Here is a 20,734-nt window from a genome sequence, read left to right as displayed (position 1 = left end):
TGGATACAATTAAGGGATGGTTAAAAAATAGTGAAGTTAGCTATTGGAATGGGGCACATAGATTTTGTAGCAGTGGAAGGATAACAGCAACCTCAGCATCTGAAGAATACCTCAGACCCTGGAGATACAGGGGAGGTAGGGACATCAATGATCTTTGTTTCCAGTGAACTGCCTCTAGAGCTTTCCTCAAAGGAAAACAGAGAGATCTCCCAAGCTGTTGCCAGTGCCTTCTGTTTAATTGAGTGCTGGGCCTGTCACCCACTGCGAGGCAGCTCTCACTGCTATACCATGGCCACTCCCTTTAACCTTACTGAAAAATTTATTGGGAACAGAAGAGATAATGGTAGCCCCTGCACCCCCTAAGCAAAATGCCAGTCAACGGCTCTGTACTTCCCTAATTCCAAAGCTATCCCTCAGCCATTCCATGGTACGGACAAATGTCCTCTGGCTGGTGGCATAGACAAATAGGCCAGTCTCGCCTTAAAATAAGGACTCAATTATTTGAACTGAACTCAGACTCCTAAGGTTTATCATCCAGCTAGGAGGCCACTCAGCCTGTTTCACTAACTCATGAAGGTCCCACTTGGGTGGCCCCAGCAATGATAAACCACTTTCCAGGGGCACAATGAGCACCCTGGTATTATACTTCATGGAAGCCAGGCATTAACTCATCTTCTTCTCAAAGAGACAATAAGTTGCGCTTTAGGGGTGTGGTCATAAGGAACCTTCAAGTATTTCAGGAAACGCTACCAGTAGATTATGTAGTCCTCAGACAAGTGTAGAGAGCTCTGTAAAAGGAGGCTGTCCTTGTAGACTCTGATGATTCGTTCCATTTGTTTAGGTGGTTGAGTCCAGGGCCCTGGGGGACATGGGTGGTGAGGTCAGTGCTGCAGGTTGGCCTTATCCTGGTGCTTGGAGTCTTGTAGGTAGTAGCCTTCATGAAATGGCATATAAAACTAATTAAGTGGACTTGGTTCCAGCCTGTGCCAGCCAGATTCATCAGAACCACCCACAAGTGTTGTGTTTATAGATACATTTTTTGGAAGGCAAGATGGTGTAGAAATGAGGGGTTGATACTGTAGGAAGACATTTCTCATGCCTTCCTTTTTTCTTTGTTTCCCAATAAGCCTTTTGCACTCCTATCTCTCATCTTTCTGAACTTCTTGCAAGACGAGGCACTAAATGCCCTTTACAGAGAGGTTTGTCTGCCTAAGAGCAATGGGCAGATGTGCTTACTGCCATATGAGAGATTGGGGTTTCTCTAAGTTCAGGGTTCCTCTTATGCGCAGTGTGCAGGGCTCATCTGGCTTCCTTTATGTTCACTTGTGGAAATTGAGGCTTGGGGGACTAGCACTAAAATGCTAGTATCTTGCTATTTCTGTTGCTGTGAGCAATAAACTATCCTTTGTCTCGGACCCAGGAGTCTCATGTGTTCTACCGGGATCCATGAAACTGTGGCAGGCTAACTTGTTAGCTGCAAGTAGGGTAAAAACTAAGACCCTCATAGTTGTTGACACTGTAATATCAAGAGCTGTCCAAAATTAATATCATTAAAAAATAATTGGTTTTACTATGGAAAATTAAAGATCTTTAGATAAGGCAAATATAAATTTAGCTAATAATAGTCAAGGTCTATAACTCATTTAAAATGTGTTAAATATGAAAAACAGATGGATAGATGGTATATAGAGCCCTCTTAGATTTATAGCTGCTAAAAAATGAATGAAGATAAAAATATGATAGTTTTAAAACGCTGAAAGTGAAAAGCATGTTGAAGAATTCATCTTCTCACAGCACTGCCTCAGCTGGTGTTTCAAATGTTTCTTTTGGATATGTTGTGCACACCTGACCTGCTGCCAAGGCAGAAGCCTGCTATGCCTTCACGTAATTCTGCTCTACTGCCCTGTTCCTTTCTTTCTCCCTGCCTTACTGTCTCTCCCTAAGAAGAATGATCTCTCCCATCATGCTGTACCTTCATTTGACTTCCTATCACCAATATCTGCTGCAGTCGATCCTCCGTGCTTTTCCTAAAATAGTCTTTTTTGGCCCAAAACTGTGGCCATGCTAATTCTTTTCTATGTCCTTCCAGTGGCTTATATTTACATCATGGACCAATATAGTCATTCTTTATTCTGAAGCCTCTCACCAGCATAACTTACTTTCTGTGCAAGCTCTGGATCCTTCTGCTTTGAGATATGTTTTCAAATTATTTTCTCCTCATTAAGACTCTGCTTTTTGAAACTTCTCAGAAAAAAAAAAAAAAGGCATGGTTTCTCTCATGGTTATAGGGTTGTTGTTTTTTTTTTCCCCCCAAACTTTATGGGTGTTCAGTGGATTTGCAGATCAACAATTTGAACTAAGTTTTCTAAAAGATTAATCATAATACTCAAACATTTTAAATTACATAATTCTTTCATGTCAAGTATTGGAATTATTTTGTTTTTGATCTTTTACCAGGTTATCTAGAATAGACTTATTGAGTCATAAGAAAGGATCGCTGGGTGCGGTAGCTCACGCCTGTAATCCCAGCACTTTGGGAGGCTGAGGGGGGCAGATCACGAGGTCAAGAGATCGAGACCATCCTTGGCCAACATGGTGAAACCCCGTCTCTACTAAAAATAGAAAAATTAGCTGGGTGTGGTGGCACATGCCTCTAGTCCCAGCTACTTGGGAGGCTGAGGCAGGATAATCGCTTGAACCCAGGAGGTGGAGGTTGCAGTGAGCTGAGATTGTGCCACTGCACTCCAGCCTGGCAACAGAGCAAGACTCCATCTCAAAAAAAAGAAAAAAAAGAAAGTATCTATACTCAGTTTCTTTTCTTACCCTTTATTGCTACTGAATTAGAAAATGCTAACTTACTATTATCATTTGGCAGGAATGGCTACAAGAGTTAGAAGCTTGGCCAGAGAGTTTGGGATATTCAGGTTATATGCGGATTTCTCACAGAAGCCCAGCTCAGCACTTCATCAGACACTCAGTTGACCAGCCCATTCAAACAAAAGCAAGAAAATAGAGTGTTGCCTCTAGTGAGGTATCAGGAGAAGGATTCCCAGCCTACTTGTTGGTCGCATTCAGTAATATAAAAGCATTTCTTCATATTCAAAAGTTGTAGCTTTTTGATATGATTTTTTACCATAGCCCTCATTAATTTTTTTTCCTTATGAATAAAAATAAAACTTTAACACTTAGAAAAATTCACATGCTTTGTGATAGATCCATTTTCACCACAAGTCAGTTATCTTAAAAAATAATTGTGGTATCTCAAATTTGAGGTTGATATTTGGAACTTAAATGATAGGTTTAACCTATTCAAGACAGCAACTGTTGCTAAGATATGCCACTTAAAGTCACTTAAGGTGATAGAAATGATCTTTATTGGCCGGGCACAGTGGCTCACACCTGTAATCCCAGCACTTTGGGAGGCCAAGGTGGGCAGATCACGAGGTCAGGAGTTCAAGAACAGCCTGACCAATATGGTGAAACCCCGTCTCTACTAAAAATACAAAAATTAGCCAAGCATGGTGGCATGAGCCTGTAGTCCCAGCTACTCAGGAGGCTGAGGCAGGAGAATCGCTTGAACCCAGGAGGCGGAGGTTGCAGTGAGCCTAGGCTGCGCGACTGTACTCTAATCTGGGTGACACAGCGAGACTCTGTCTCGAAAAAAAAAAAAAGAAATTATCTTTATTGGCATTATCAGTAAAAGTCTGTCTCCTGCATTATATTCTGGTAAAGCTAACAGTGACCATTTTCTATTACCTCAGTAAAAATAATGCCAGTGAAGAAGTTGAGTTTCAAGTTCTTATTTAAAAAAAGTCGTGCACTTCTGATTGGAAAAGCAGTTTTATACTCCCTATTCCTTCCTTCAAACAGCTTCTCATATGCTTCTAATGTCATATTTGCACTTTGGACTATTTCAACAGTAGCATGGTGAATAGGCACATCACGGACTTCCAATTCGGTTAGTACAGCCTTTTTATCCACATAGCCGTAACTCTGCTGCACATAGCTAGTCCTTTGTCAGTGCCAAGTTCAAAAAACTGCTTCCAGTCCAGATCATGCAAGAGTTAGAAACTTGTCCAGAGTTTGAGATATTCAGATTATATGTGGACTTGTCATGGAAGTCTACCTCAGCACTTCATCAGACATATTGTTTTTTTCATGTTTACACAGTACATATATGGATAGTTACTTAGCAACACGGACACCAATGCAGAGTCATGCAGTGGGTAAGTGCCCAGACTAAACTCGCCTGCTTGGTTTTCAGATCCCAGCTCAGCCACCTAGTAACTGTGAGATTGGGCAAGTCCCTTTACCTCTCTGTGCCTTGGTTTCCTCCTCTGTGAATGTGAAGAGTGAGTGAGTTAATACTCATTGATAATAATAATGTAAAACACTTAGAGTCATGCTTGCTACATAGTAAGCACTCTTTAGGTGTTTGCTGAAGCAAGTAAATCAGTAGATTGTTCAATTGTCAAGTAAAGTGTCTGCTACTTCAAGCAATAGCAGTTGTTCTTCTACACTCTTTTTGTTATCATGGGATTTTTCACATTAAATTTTGCTTCTCTAAGAACATGTTTGTCATTAACTTCTCGGTGGACTTTTTTGTTTTTACAAGTTTCTCAGGAATGAAGTGTCAGAATGTTGTCTCTTGCAGTTTTGTCCTTTTCTCCCATCTCTATCTCCATCAAACAGTAACCTTTGTCGGTTGACAACATTTTATAACAAAAATATTCTGGAGATGCAAGTAAATGTTTTGCTGGTCCACTGATACATTTTTAGATACAGTAAGCCCTCACTTAACATCATCCATACGTTCTTGGAAACTGAGACTTTAAGTGACAGCAGGTCCTCGAATAATGTCCTTTGCTTGTTTTATGTCGTTTTGCTTGAAGTCAGTTTCCAAGAACCTATTGATGTTAAGTGAGGATTTAGTGTACTGAATATCACATTTCCTATCCATCCTTTTCTTTGATCACTATCAGGTTTTTCTCAGTGTGCATGTTTACATCTAGTTTTTAACGTGGAACCCTTTTCACTCTTGTTTTACATGTGTGTTATTTTCATGACTGCTTTTGTAGTTTTAAGAAACACTTTTGATCCAATTACTTGTTTTCGTAAGATTGGGTGGAGAGCATAACGTGACAGTTAATTGCCCCCCAGTTGCAAATTTAATACTTGTCCTCAATAAATGCAATGACACAAAAATAAAACGAATTTACCTTATCAACTGTACTGGCCAGTTGAGTTCTTTTAATGGACTTGTAACCTTTAATATGGTAACATGATTCTGAGAATCAAACACAATTTAGCATTAATCTTACTTTTCAAAAATACATGATGTTCAGGAATAAAACTGTTCCATTGCTTTTTCTTCAGGAGGCACAAAACACCTGTGGCCCCTGATAGAAGTCCAGAAATCACACCCTGATGATTAATGCCTGACACTCACCTTAGGGAATGTGCTCCCTCTGCATGTATGACTTAATAGCACAAGTCTGGCATAATGAATGTTGTTCTAATAATTAAAACATTGTGACAATATCAAAGCTCTATCAGACTCTCTTACATGGCTTGTACAGCTACACTTTTTTTTTTTTTTTTAAAGGAGTCTGGCATCTAAACCACCTTTCTATATTCCAGGAATTCCCCATTTTACAAGGCTTGTAATCCCTCCCATTATAGAAGATTAAAAATGCCACAAATTCACTTTGCTCTTCTCCCTTACATTTAGCCACCTGCCCGTGGCCTAAAAGCTCAGTTATAAGCCGATGTAGCTACCCCAGACCTCCAGCAGGAACGAGAGACTGGGGAAGCAGGGATAGCCAGCTCCATGAGGAGGAGAAGAGGTGGCAGCTCTGGGTAGCTGGGTGTGAACAAAGTAAGCTGTGGGGTCAAGGGCCGAGCTGAAACAGCACCCTCACTGAACTACTTGATTTTGATGGTGATTCAGCCTGGCCAGCCCTCGAGTACAATTGTCCAGTCTTCCAAGCCATATGCAGTTACCTTTCAATAAATTATTTTGCTGGAGAATTATCAGGCAGGGTAAAGTTTTTGTTACTTGTAACTAAACATATTCACTGATATAAGAGATTCTTCTCTGTTTAATCTGACAAACTGTACTGCCTTTGAATCTAAATACAAATGTCCAATTTTCTGTGCTCCCACAGGATTCTGAATATATTAATGCTTCCATTATGTAACACTTTTCACTTTGTACAGTGATAATGTGATGAAGTCTGTTTATCTCACTAGACTGTGAACTTCTCAAAAGAGCCACCTGTATCTGACTAGACATAGTGTTCACCACACAGTAGGGCATAATACTTGCTGAAGGAAAGAGCTACCAAAAGAATCATGTTTGTTCTGTTAAAATACAGACTTTTTTATCTGGTAAATATCTCTGTGTTCCTTTGTTCAAAGCCTAGCACAGCATGTGTAAATACAAATTAAATTGTGTTGATAGTGGCACAAACCTTTTATTGACCAAACTGGTTTAATTTTTCTATTTTAACTTATAGTCATCATGAAAAGTAACAAACTCTCATTATAGAAAACTTGAAAAATACAGAAAAGAATAAAGAGGAAAAAGCAACACCCTTAATACTACAAAGTATGAGATAAAAATGATTTTTTAGTTTTTTCCCCATGCATATATAGTATGTATTTTTTCTTCTGAAACTGTGATATGTGACATCTCCTATTTTATCTCCTGCATTTCCTCATTTATCATGGGTATTTTCCATCTACAGAGTTTTAAAAATATGGTTTAATGCTATGTATAGGTACACATGCTCTAGTTCACTCAAATCTTACTACTGGGCATGCAATTAGTTTCCAAATTTTCATTATTAAGAAAACAGAATTAACATCTGTGTGAACATTTCTGGTTATTTGCTGGCCCCTTCAAATAGATTTAATGAGATGATATGAGTACTTTTGAGATTTTAATAAACATTATTGAATATAGACTAATTCAGAGTCCCCCTGGCAGTATATAGGAATACCATTTACACCACCTTTTCAGCAGCACTGAATACTATCATTACCTCTTTATGGCATCTGGTGCTTTTAGTTTATATTTTAATCACTTACATGATCCGTAGGAATATTTGTTGAGTCTTGCCCCATGGAGCTTACATTTTACTGAAACCTTTGCTGTCTCTCCCACCACTTTTTTTTTTGTTTTTGAGATGGAGTCTCACTCTGTTGCCCAGGCTGGAGTGCAATGGCGTGATCTCGGCTCACTGCAACCTCCACCTCCTCGGTTCAAGCGGTTCTCCTGCCTCAGCCTCCTGAGTAGCTGGGATTACAGGCGCCCACCACCACACCCAGCTAATTTTTAGTAGAGACGGGGTTTTACTGTGTTGGTCAGGCTGGTCTCAAACTCCTGACCTCAGGTGATCCACCCACCTTGGCCTCCCAAAGTGCTAGGATTACAGGCGTGAGCTCTGTAATCCCACAGAGCCTGGCCTCTCCCACCACTTCTGTGCTTAGAGCTTTCTTGGACGGATGCAGTGGCTCACACCTGTAATCCCAGCACTTTGGGAGGCTGAGGCAGGGGGAATCACGAGGTCACGAGTTTGAGACAAGCCTGGCCAGTATGGTGGAACCCTGTCTCTACTAAAAAAATACAAAAAATTAGCCGGGCATGGTGGCATGCACCTGTAATCCCAGCTACTCGGGAGGCTTGGGCAGGAGAATTGCTTGAACCCAGGAGGCAGAGGTTGCAGTGTGCTGAGATCATGCCACTGCACTCCAGCCTGGGCAATGGAGCGAGTCTCCATCTCAAAAAAGGAAAAAAAAGGAAAAAAAAAAAAAGAGCTTTCTCTTTATTCCTCCTTTAGTCAGGTAAGTAAAAAAAATAAAAAAGAGTGAGAAGAGTGAGCTTCCTCACTTAGAAATCTGATAAATATTCTCCAAAATTATCTTTTTATTTTTAAAAACGGTAATGACCTTCCTAATTAAGGAAACGAAAATAGGCATGGTTTCTGTGCTCATTGAATTTATAACTCTAGAGGGTATATTGCTACACAGATTAAAAAATATTGACTTTCATATAAGTAGCATTGTGCAACTTAACCATTTTTAGCAATATGAGTGGAATCATAATATGTTATAGTGTGATATCATTTTATTAGCTTCTAAACAGCCATGTTTAGAATACTAAACAAATAGAATTCTTATGAGGATATTTTATGTAAACTCATCTGAATTATTTATATTAAGATAGAAAAAGACCTTTAGAACAAACAAAAATAGTTCTGTATGTTTTAGAATATTTAAAAGTTTACTCTCAAATTACATTTTTTGGTTTCATCAGCTGCTGCATTCTTTAAATGTATGTACCAGTGCTGAACTTGTTAATCATATTTCAGAATATTCCAAGTTCTTAAAGCTTAACATGCTATTGACTTAACTTGTTTTGAAATATGGTTAGCAAGATTACCCCTATTAGACAATAGCTCATAAATGAAGTACTTGACTCTAGTTCTAAAAAATCATCAAATATCTTGTCTTTTTAATGATATTTTGTAATCCACCAGCTGGAAAGATTCTTTTCTCACCTTTTTTTCAAGCATTCATGATATTGGGCATTTGTATAATCTGAAAATAATTGGTGCTTCAATTGCATCTTGAGAAGATGAGAAATGTCTGTTTATTTCAATAGCACTGTGAGTTTCAGTGGGGCGAGATCATCCACTTGGTATGAGACCCACTGGGCTCTGGGGTGGAGAGTAATAAAATGTAGTTTACTAAATGCTTAAGAAATAAACATAATAGGATGGGTGCGGTGGCTCATGCCTGTAATCCCAGCACTTTGGGAGGCTGAGGCGGGTGGATTACCTGAGGTCAGGAGTTTGAGACCAGCCTGGCCAACATGGTGAAACCCCGTCTCTACTAAAAATACAAAAATGAGCTGGGCGTGGTGGTGAGCACCTGTAATCCCAGCTACTCGGGAGACTGAGGCAGGAGAATTGCTTGAGCCTGGAAGGTGGAGGTTGCAGTGAGCCGAAATCCTGCCACTGCATTCCAGCCTGGCTGACAAAGCAAGATTCTTGTCTCAAAAAAAAAAAAAAGAAATAAACATAATAATATCAATCATTAAAAGCTTTTCAAAATTTTATTGGCTGGTGATAATAAGAACAAGGGTTTAGAATGTCAAAAACACTGCTTTTGCTAGGCAGTATTATTTGTTGTGAGAATTACATGAGATGAAAAATATGAACATTTAGCACAGTGCCCAACGTGGGGGAAAGTGCTCACATTTGATATTACTGTAAGTGGTGTGTGAGCTGTATGTTTTTAATCAGTCCTATTTTGCTCACAACATGGCAGTTTTCTGAGATTGTATTTGGTCCTCATTATTCACAGGTTCCAGAATTGTGAATTTGCCCACCTACTAAAAAGTTTATTTTCAACAGCTGTGTCAATACTAGAGGCGCTTTTGTAGTTATCCATGGACATGTGTAGAGTGGTGAATAATTGGAGTCGCTAATGGACACATCCCCAGCTGTGGGGGAACAAGGCAGCGTTCTGCCATCCCATGTTGTCTCTTACGCTAGAAACAAGCGTCCTTTACGTGGTCTGTTTAGTACCATATTTTTTTTTTTTTGCATTTTTGTGGGGTTTTTGTGTGTGTGTGTGTGGTGATTTTCCTGTTTAAAATGGCCCCCAAACCTTCTGGAGTGCTGTGTAATGTTCCTAAGCACAAGAAGGGGCTGTTACGTGCCTATGGAGAAAACTCGTGTGTTAGAGAAGGTTCCTTCAGCCAGGAGCTATGGTGCTGTTGGCTGCTAGCTCAGGCCTCAGAGGCAGTCTAGAGAACAAGCAGCCTGTGACCGTGCTCTGTGAAGCTCAGTGGGGCTCCAAAGCTGACTGTGAAAGGACCTTGTCAGCTATTTTAAGGATTTGGGTCCTTTGTTTTATTTTTATTTGTTTTTTTTTAAGAAACAGGGTCTTACCCTGTTGCTCCAGCTGGAGTGCAGTGGTGCAATCATAGCTCACTGTAACCTTGAACTGGGCTCAAGCAATCTTCCCACCTCAGCCTCTCAAGTAGCTGGTTCTACAGGTACACACCACCATGCCTGGCTAATTTTTTATTTTAATTTTTTTGTGGGGACAGTATCTCATTGTGTTGTCCAGGCTAGTCTCGAACTCCTGGGCTCAAGCAGTTGTCCCAGCTTGGTCTCTCAAAGTGCTGGGATTACAGGCATGAGCCACTGTGCCTGGCCTGGGTCCTTTTGTTAAGACAAGTAGAAGCCACTGAATTGTTTTAAGTAGTAAAAATCATATGCAGAGTTTTGCCAAGATTCCTTTGACTACAGTGAGAATGGGAGGCGGGAGAGCAGCCTGTATCATCATCGCTGCACAGCTGGGCTTAGTGTCCTGCAGGGACATAGGCTTTATGTCCTTTAATCATCACAGCAACGCTGTGAAGATGTCCTTGTCTTCCCTATTTGTCAGGGAGGAATTTACCAGGTAAAGGACTTGTCTAATTAACATGTTTGATAAATGGCTGAGCTGATATATTAGATAATGTTTTAAAGTACAGTGCCTGGCCTGCAGTAAGCACTCAGTTAATGTTTGATGATAGTTACATTATGTTCTTTTTTTTCCCCTCAGTTCAGTGCATTTTTTTTAAAACCATGCTTTAAAGAATAAAATATGAAAAGGTATGCAGATAAAAGCTTCCCTCTCACTCCGACCCCCATCTACTTATTTCTTCCTGACCCCAGAAACATTACTGATCTGTGAGATTGTCTTAAACCACCAAACACTGTACTGCATTAAGGTGCCGCTTGTCACTGACTATATTGTAGGTATCCTCCACTAGACAGGACTGGTGGCTGAAGAATGGACAGGGCAGTCCACACTGTTGTGTGGAAGCTGAGACTCCACAGCTCTGTCTGTAACCACACCTTTGCAAAGAAACAGAGGACCAATTTCTATGCATGAAGAAATAGCCATTTTTACTTTCCTTTGTGTTTGTAATAAGTGGATTTTCAGGATGTCGGAAGTGTGGTGATAGAAAGCAGTGTCGGTTGTCAGTCATCTCGGTGGTCTCGAAGATATGAATGTTCTCCTTCGTCTCACTGCCCAAGTCACATGGCATATCCCATTGTTATTACAAAGGGGTGGATATCTTAAAATCAGTAGTCTTTTCCAGGAAATTAGCATGGGTGCTCTTTAACCCCCTGTTCCCTGCTATCTACATCTAAGCCCCTATCTTCACGCAGCACGGTCACTGGTGGGCTTGATATTGATTGTATGTTGTTATGAAAATTAGATGGTGTTCAATACTGATATTAAACAAGCAAGAAATACTGATAATAAAAACGTTAATACTCAGCCACTTAGAAAACAATGATCTAAAATACTAGTGCCTGGGTGGTATCTAGGCAGATCATATGTTTCTGGATTAGAGATGAGAAATGAGAACAACTGTTGGATTTATCATTAGGAATTCAAAAACGAAAGTATTTGAATACTGTAAATCTATGGTTCAGGGAAAATGATGTAAAAAAAGACACGTTTGGTTTATTTACGTACATTGTTACTTTCCTTTTTAGCGTGTTGGTATTTGAGCTGCCTGCTTACAAACTGTGAATTTGAGAGTAATTGCATCTTCCTCACCACGTCTCTCCCGTTTGCAGGGTCATCGAGCAGCTCGGTGGGAAGCAGCTGGTCATGAACCACATGCATCATGAAGACCAGCAGGTCCGCTATAATGCTCTGCTGGCCGTGCAGAAGCTCATGGTGCACAACTGGTATGCCACGGCTTTTTGCTCACACTTGTACATTAGTCTGCAAACTCTCACTTGCCATTCTAAAAGTTCTTATGCAAATGCTTTGAATGATCATTTTTAAAATTAGTTATTTTGATTCAAAATTTAGAAATATATTTTAGTAATTCAGAGCAATGACACATTAGTTTTATAAAGACGGACTGCACTAAAGGTCTCAAGGAGTGTATATTCAAAATAATAATTTCAAAAACGACTCCAGAAGTAACTAAAAGGACCCTGTGACATAAGTCAGTCAGTCCTTTTTGGAGCTGAATGCAGTTGGACTACTGATTCCTTTAGAGACGCCACAATTTTGCAAGGCTTACCTATTCAGCATATGGTAAACTGGATGAATTTTACCAATTCACATAAAAACACTAAAAGCTGATAAATCAACTTAGATTCAGCTCTCACATTTCATTCACTATAGTTTTTGCTTTTGAAGTAACTAAAGTTATGCTTCTTTATTGCCTGTTTTTATTTTTAAAATAAAAATTAGTGACTTTTTTGTACCCACTTAAAACAAGATCAATTAAAGAGTAACTACTTAGACATGGTGAGCCCTTTGTGTACATAATAGAAGAAATGAAGATTCCCCTTGACATAGCTGCTTTTAGCTGTAGGTTGGGTGTTCAGTGCCTTCAGCAGTATCCTAAACAGTTCAAATGCCTCTCCATTCCCCAGCCTCTGGAAGGATGCTCTGTTTTTTTGTTAAGGCATCAGGAACAAATATACATTGCTTGTAACTGACAGTAATGCTACCAGCACTTCCAAAGGAGAGGGTTAGTGATGCACTAGCATGAGTGCGTTTGAAGATGCAGGCACATACAGTGTAGGAGAATATCCAGGAGTACTGCTGTGGTATCATGTGTTACATATTACGTTCCTGCCACTTAACACTTTTATCATAAATAATGACATTTATGTAAATTCTTACAAGTGCTTTTTGAGTGCTAGCTTTGTACCCTGATAAGTGTACAAATCTGTACCCTGATAAGTTAAATGATGTTAGGTATGATGAAAGTGGGTGCAACTTTACATAGGATGATTAGAGAAAGCCTCCCTGAGTAGGCCACATAGCTAAGTTGACAATAATGATAAGTAACCAGCCATACAGCTCTATTACTGGAGTGAATAAGCATTTTAGGTGGAGGGAATGAGAGGTGAAAAGGCTGTGAAGTAGTAACGAACTTGGCTTGTTTAAAGCAATGTACAGGGAATTATGTGGTTGTGACACTCAGGGGTGGAGGTGCTACTGGCACCTAGTGGATAGACAGCTGGAGTGCTGGTAATATCCTGTAATGCAGGCAGTCCCTAGAATTAAAGAAGTATATGTGAGTGCCAATGTTGGGCAACTCTGATATGAAGGATGGTCAAGGGCAAACTCTGACATGAAGGATGGTACGAGGGGAAAAACATGGTTCAGGAGAGGTAGGCAGAGACCTGATCGTGTAGGGCCTTGTAGGCTATAATTTGACTCCTGTAAGATGAGTTGAAAACCATTGCAAGGATATTAAATAGGGGAATGACAAGATGTGGTTTATGTTTTGAAAGGGTCACTTTGGCTACTCCCTGGAGAACGGGTTGTGCAAGGGTAAGTGAGAAAGCATGAAGAGCATTTGAGCTGGTTTTCATGGTAGTCTGGGGCTGAGGTAGTTGGTGGCTTGGCCTAGATGATAAACATTGAGATAAGAAGTAGATGGACTTGGGGTAGATTCAGAGCTAGTGTGGACAGCACTTGATGGGCTGAAAATGTTTTTTACTTTTTTCCATAACTTCAGTGCAAGAAGAATGGGATCAAAACAGAAGGTGAAAACCCCAGAATGGTTTTTATCAGTTTAGCAGGAGGAAAAACTTCAGGTCTGTCAGTAAAACATAGGATACATCACAGGATTTCTCTCCTTACTTCACTTTACCCCAAGCCAGATTTTTCAACATAAATCATTTATTTAGTAATTTCATATCTTATGGTTTGTTTATATCTCTTTCAGGAATTTAATTTAAAGGATGTTGGCATTTAATAGAATTTCAGGCCATTGCAACCAATGAGCTTATAGTTGCCAGATGTTTTTCTAAAGTTTCTGTGAAAGTCAAAGTTTTATTTTCCCATTGTGTTGAAATTAGGGCTATTGAAATACAGTTATTATTTTATTAGCGTATTTCTCTTGAAGTCTTTCTTGTTGGGTTAGTGGTTTTCTTGTTTTAAAAAATGTATATTCCTAATATGAAAGGCAAGATGTGTGTGAAATAGGATGTTGACCTTTTCCCTTTGCCAGTGGAGGAAATTTTTTAGTTGAGAATTTTTGTTGTTCAGATGATCATGTATTGAAGATGAAATTTTTAAATTTGACTTTTTTCTTGAATTTAGGAACTTGATGTAGTCTCATAGTACATTTTTCTGTGTGTGATTATAAGAGGAAGTGTATTCTGTCTTTACAGGGAAATACTGGTTTATTTGCTCTTTATGAGAGAGTATTCTTTTTTCCTCTCTCTTTCTAATTATATGGCAAACTTTTTAAATTTTAATGTTTTAACTACGATTATCTCCTTTGCATTTAATGGAGAAGCTTAGTATTTTCCCACACTTCCTTCATAGAGAAATTTTTGTATGAAGGAAGATTAAAATTCACCTGTGATCTCTGTATTTGATTGTGACTTATAAATTTCTGTGGCTCCCTGTGCCAGAGAATGAAAGTTGCTCAAGTAATAATTTATTACAATACCAGTTTAATTTGAGACTAAATAGAATACCATTTGGAAAGTAATCTTTTGCAAAGTATATCCCCAAATGTAAAAGAAGTTTGGATCAATACCTTTTTTCAGGTAACCTAGTTGTCTATACTAAACTCATAAAGACTACCTTTCTACCTGCCTAAAATAGGGGCTTTTTAACCTAAAATATGCTGCTGGTGTTCTAAAGAATCTTGTAAATTTCTCTAAATTGTTTTCTTTTCTACCAAGTGAAAACTTGAAAATACAGTGGAGTTTTTCTTTTAGCATTGGCTCGATTTAAATGGAAACGAGTTATTATAAATGGTGTATTTTAGCCCTCCATAGTGAAATAATTATTTTAACATAATTAAAATGCAAGCACAGATGAAAGCATGAAGGTCTGCGTGACAGGCAGCAGCAGCGGCACTTTGCCTGCATCCCTGGGTTTTTCTGCCCTAAAGGATTTTTAGGTTTTTGATATTGCATTATTCCTGAAGTTTTTGTTTATCAGATTAAATTGTAACTTTGGATACAATAAAATTAACATTTATTACTTTCTGCCATGAATTTAAAAAATTTTAGGTATAATTTCAAAATTACATTTTAAGTGTAATTTATGTTACTTATGAAATCATGGAACTGGGTCAGATATGGATTTGGATTTTGATTTTGATTCTGTTATAAGGAGTTAAATATTAAGTTTCTTGATAATGTAGAGATACATTTGAGTTTATATCATATGGAGTATGGAGTTATATAATGGGAAAATACTTATTTATTTTATGATTGATTTCAAAACTGTATCCTTGAATTGTAGGTGTTAGAATACCAGCGTTTCTCCCCTTCCACATCACATCTGTATTTCTGTGGAACAATGGATTATAAATAACCCTGACTGAGAGTGGGTGAGGAGCGGTGGAGGAGGAATAGAGTTGCTGGGGAGGGAGGGGACAGTGGCACCCACTGGGCGCCCTCAGCTGGGAGGCCTGAGCAGGCCAGTCCTACTCGCGGGCCTCTGCAGCTCTTATCTTTTTGTGCCCACCATGGCATTCCTGGTGTGCCCTTTGTTCTTTTGTGCAGTGCTGGATTTTTATATTCATAAATTTGGCAGAATATATAAACAGTGACAACTAAGAGAACTTGTGTATATACACCTAATTCATCCGTTTCACATCATAAGATGTCATCGTTTTTCTCCTACAGAATGATTTTAAATGTAATCAGCCTCTAATGCAGAAGCAACGATATGTGCATATGGACAGCTCAGGACTTCAGGAAAGAAACACTGACTTTTGTAGGTAGAGGATCTCACGTAGAATTTTTCATTTTTGTCTCTAGATTCTTGTTCAGCCCTTTCTTAAGCAGCATAATAAGTTATAAGAGTGTTACCATCTAGATTTTTTATGCTTAGGTAAATTAATATAACAGAAAAACTCACCAGGCCAAGGGTATGGATATTACTTTGTTCTCTGGTGTTTCTATCTGCTTTGCATATTTTAGTTATTCTGTAAGTGCAGAGCCATAAATACAGTGATTAAAATAGTTACTTATGAACTAAAGAAAAAAAAACCTCTTATGTGTTTTAGCTAATTTTTAGGATAATAATCAAGTTACCAAAACATTCCACATGATTTTTAATAAACATAACATTTCTAGATTTAACGTTTTCCAGAACTAATTTCTAATTTCTAAATTAGAATTCTAATTTCTAAATTAATTTCTAGATTCTCTTTCTGGGTCTCTGGAATTTTCTAGGTACCTGAAATTTTCTGGGTACCTGGTCTGTTTCTGGGTACCTGGAATTTTCCACATTATTATGACATTTTTAGTGGAGGAACATTTGAAAATGTCTTTAATGTCATATGTTTTCTGTATTTGAAAAAAACAAATATAACTGGATTTTTAAAAATATGAAAACCCATTCCAGGTAAAGAGGAATTTTTTACAGCTGTTATCTCACTATCAACTGGTAATTCAGCCTCCCAATCGAAGGTTGCTGCTTCTTTGCAAGTTAGAAATGTTTCCTAAGACTGTATTAACTTTTCTGGACAGTATGCACCACTGAATTACAGTTGAATTGCAAATGCCGGCATAACATAAACCTCAGATTGTTGCAAAGTATCAGCCTAAATAAATATTCAGAAGAGTTGGAAAATAAGCATTTTGACAGTAAAGAAAACCCCTGATGGATAATGTAGTCTGTGGACTTTATAATTAAACATAAAATCAATTACAGGTTTCACACATAGGTGCACATGACTAAGTGTGGGGATCTGTGGATCTAGTTCATGTTTTGGTTTTGTTTGCTTACGATTGGCTTTGTAGACAAACAGGTACCTAAAGTGGGATTTAAAGGATCAATAAAGTGTAGACGAAAGAAAAGCCTGGTCTAGTAAGGAGAGGTAGAGAAAAACGAATTAACTTGCTTTGGTTTTCATTGCTTTCTCTTCCTTCTGTGGGTGGGGCAGTTACATCTGTGATCCCTTGGCATATTTCATTTCATGGGCTTTGTGTGTGTGTGTGCACGTGCACGCATTTTTTTTTTTTTTTGAGGCAGAGTCTCGCACTGTCACCTGGGCTGGAATGCAGTGGCGTGATCTTGGCTCACTGCAACCTCCACCTCCCGGGTTCAGGCAATTCTCCTGCCTCAGCCTCCCAAGTAGCTGGGATTACAAGTGCCCGCCACCACACCCAGCTAATTTTTTATATTTTTAGTAGAGATGAAACATCTTTTAAATCCAATAAACTCAATAGAATGGTTGGCAGAGTATACTAAAAATTTAATTAAGATAAAGCAAACTTTATATTCACTCTCTAAGATATTTAAGTTTTTGAATTATTTTCTCAGTTTCCCTTTATGTATGTCACCCAGATGTTAAGTCATGATGGGGGAAAAAATGTTTTATAGCTAATGGAAATGAATTGACAGGTTTTTGTCAGTAGTAAAAACCTGAGGAATTGACCAAAAAGAGGAGGAAGAGTATCAGCCTATTGTCTTAAGAAAGGTACCTTTTGATGTAAATATTCTTTAATTGAATTTTTATTCCATTTAAATTTTAAAAGAATTGTGCAGCAGTGCAGCAGTTACATTTTTAAATCTAAATCCTCTTAGATGAATTAGATGAAGTTTATCATCTGTTTTTACTTACATTTTAAAAAAGGAATTCAGCATAAAGGTGCCAAAGTGTTAGTACAGGGCCAGAGGTTTTCCTAAAAGACCAGATTTCTCCCACCACACGGTATCAGATCTGTACTGCATTCTCCTAGAGGCACCTCTCACACTGGTAGGAGCTGTGCTCTTCTTGCCTTATTTTCCTTAAGGGTTAGGCATTTAGAAGCCTGAAATGAAAACAGTCTCTTGGATGAGTTTTTCCTGCCTTGCTAAATATCCCAGAAATGTATTCTGAGAAAACATTTCAGTGTCTGGTTTGAACACTATGCTGTTCCATTTGTATCCAGCTCTTTTCTCAGTTAAGAGAGTTATGGGAGTGTTTACTTTTATCTCTGTAATTGTCTCTAATTACAGACAGGAATACTTGTTAGAAAATTCAATTTGTGCTAAAGTAGAGAAATACAAAGTAGAAAATAAAGGCGTAGCACACAATTTCAGTGCACTGTCATAGCAGGACGAGCCGCAGACAAAACCCCTTAGATACTAGGTTAAAGAAGGAAGTGGCTGTATTCGGCTGGGAGCTTTGGCAGACTTGTGTCCCGAAAACCAAGCTCCCTGAGAGAGAAATGCCTGCCCTTTTAAGGGCTTACAGCTCTAAGGGGGTCCATGTGAAAGGATTGTGATCAATTGAGCAAGCAAGGGATATGTGGCTGGGGCTGCATGCATCAGTAATCAAGACAGAACAGAACAGAAAGTTTCACAATGCTTCCTTATACAATGCCTGGAATCTATAGATAATACAAGCGGTTACGTCAGGGGTTGATTTTTAACTACCAGACCAGGCCTGGGGTGTGGCGCTGGGCTGTCTGACTATTGATTTCATTTTTGCCTTTCTTTAACTTTTACTTCCTCTTTCTTTTTCTGAGGTATGAGACAATAAGAGAGGTGGTCTCCTTCCTTATTCCCCCCTGTGAGAATCTCACTTATTAGTGGGAGTTCTCATTCTCATTTTCACTACTTAGGTCTTCCTGCAAGACAGATGGATAATGATTCATGTAATACATTTGTGCCGAGGTTTTCTGATGAACTAAGCTAGCAACAAAACTTTTTATTATTTGAAGGAATAAGGGTAATACAGCAGCAAGCAAGTTAAGCTCTGCCAGTTTTATTAGTGATTATTTCTAACTGTATGATTATTTCAACTGTATGATTTGATTGAGCATGTAGATGGGGGTTTGGTTTTTAATAATGGAAGTTTTTAACAGCTAGAAGCTTGAACTTGTGGGCGTCTGTTCGGGGAAAGAATTAGTCAGAGTATAGTTATTTTGAGGCATTAACTTTTTTGCTTCCTAAGGCCATTGGTCTCCTATGTTAGTCTTTCCACAAACATAACATGGCCTAGGCTGCCGGCAATGTTTTCGGCTAAGGGAGGAGGCTCTGGTAACTTTTGGTTTATATGCTTAAAGAATGATTTAAAGACTTGGAAATGCTGCTGGGCCAGACGGGTCTGGGTTCTTTGACTAAGTAGTATGTGTACAGTGGGGACACTTATATATAAGTGCTAGCAAGGACAAAAGAGGTCCTTACCTGGGAAAAAGATTGAGTACAGTGACAGAACAATAGTAAAACAGTATACAAGAATACTACTAGGCCTAAAATTTCTAACTATATTACTTGTTTGACGAGTCCTAAAGCTTCGGCCGTGGGTAGACTAGTCAGCTTCTGGTGTGTGACTAGAGCAGGGCTTGTTGTTTCCTCAGCAGCGCAGTCTCATCTTAGGATTAGCTGGGTTGGATGATCTGAGTCCTACTGGCTGGTTCACTTGTCCTGAGATGCCGGTGTTAGCCGACTGTGGTGGATCCAAGAAACAACACCTGCAACTTTAGCAGCAGTGGGAGTGGACAAGATTACAGTATAGGGCCTATCTTATATGGATCCTAGAGAAATTAGATTTTACTTTTTAACCGAAACAGAGTCACCAGATTTAAAGGAGTGTCAGGCTTATAGGCATTTTTGTGTGCTTAATTATGAACACTTTGTATGGCTATTCCTGAAGCCTGCATTTGCTTTTTTTAAGGTTAATTCCCCTAGTTCCTGGAGGTTACTTTTAATTTGGGGGACTTATGATTTGCGGGGTGGCCGACTGAACAAAATCTTATAGGGCAACTACCTAGTTTGTTTGGTGGGGGTGCACCTGACTTGGAGGAGGAGCATAGGCAAAAACTTGATTTTATTTTAAATGAATTTCCTGGCAATATTTCTTCAGTAGCTGCTTGAGTGCCAGTTTATGTGTTTTACCTTTTTCTGAACTTTGTGGCTGGTAGGCAGCATGTAGTTTTCATGTGATCTTTAATAACTTTGCTGTTTTCTGTACCAAGTCAGCTACAGACGCCAGCCCGTTATCTGAGGCGATTCGTAAGGGTGGTCCAAAGCTAGGAATAAGATCTCGGAGAAGCACATGGGTTACTTTACGAGCTTTTTCAGTTTGTATTGGATAAGCCTCCACCCACCCAGAGTAGGTACACACAAGAACTAGTAAATACTTGTTACCTCCACATTTTGGCATTTCTGTGAAGTCCACCTGGAGATCTTCAAAGGGGGCTGTTCCATAAGCTAGTATGCCGGGCAGAACGGCTGGACCTTGCCTCGCATTGTGCTGCTGGCAGGTAATACATTGCTGTGCCACTGTTTTGGCAAGGGCTGATAAATGTGAGATGTAGAATAACTGGCCTAACAACTTTTTAAGTGACTCTTGGCCTAGGTGGGTGATCTCATGCACAGCCAGTACAACTGTGGCTCCTCGCAGTTGTGGCACAGCTATCCTTTTATCCAGTAACTGGATCTATCCTTCTTCTATTATTTGTCCTCCTTCTGTCTGGCAAAAGTCCTTTTTTTTTTCATTAGAATAAGTAGGTACAAGGTCAGGTGCTTGAGGGAGAAGGAGGGCTGTGACTGACGCCCGGTAGCGGGTGGATGCAGCTTTCCGAGCCTCTGAGTCAGCCCAGGAGTTCCCTAAAGCAACTGTAGTGGGAGCTCGCTGGTGTTCCCTGCAGTGCATGACTGCCACCTTTTGGGGCCTCTACGCTGCTTCTAATAGTTGCAGGATTTCTTGCTGATGTTTTAT

General features: G+C 39.2%; 1 protein-coding gene across 5 annotated transcripts in view, besides 1 other annotated feature; it reads left to right on the top strand.

Moving 5' to 3' along the window:
* The window catches only part of ATP6V1H (ATPase H+ transporting V1 subunit H), a 127,703-nt gene that overhangs the window by 87,901 nt on the left and 19,068 nt on the right, over positions 1 to 20,734 (top strand). For all 5 annotated transcript variants that reach the window (NM_213619.3, NM_015941.4, XM_006716455.4 and 2 more), the window contains one exon: positions 11,655 to 11,768. In NM_213619.3, coding sequence (NP_998784.1) covers positions 11,655 to 11,768 — 114 coding nt within the window. The remainder of the gene's footprint in view (positions 1 to 11,654; positions 11,769 to 20,734) is intronic.
* Positions 13,006 to 13,145: an enhancer, noted in NCBI's record as "active region_27359". NCBI's record gives its function as "activates an Ori minimal core promoter by ATAC-STARR-seq in GM12878 lymphoblastoid cells {active_cell/tissue: GM12878}" and the evidence as "EXISTENCE:reporter gene assay evidence [ECO:0000049][PMID:35858748]".

Source organism: Homo sapiens, chromosome 8 (genome assembly GCF_000001405.40).
Source record: "Homo sapiens chromosome 8, GRCh38.p14 Primary Assembly".
Taxonomy (NCBI): domain Eukaryota; kingdom Metazoa; phylum Chordata; class Mammalia; order Primates; family Hominidae; genus Homo; species Homo sapiens.
The sequence above is the reverse complement of the archived record's forward strand: the minus strand, read 5'-3'. Positions and strand labels throughout refer to the sequence as shown.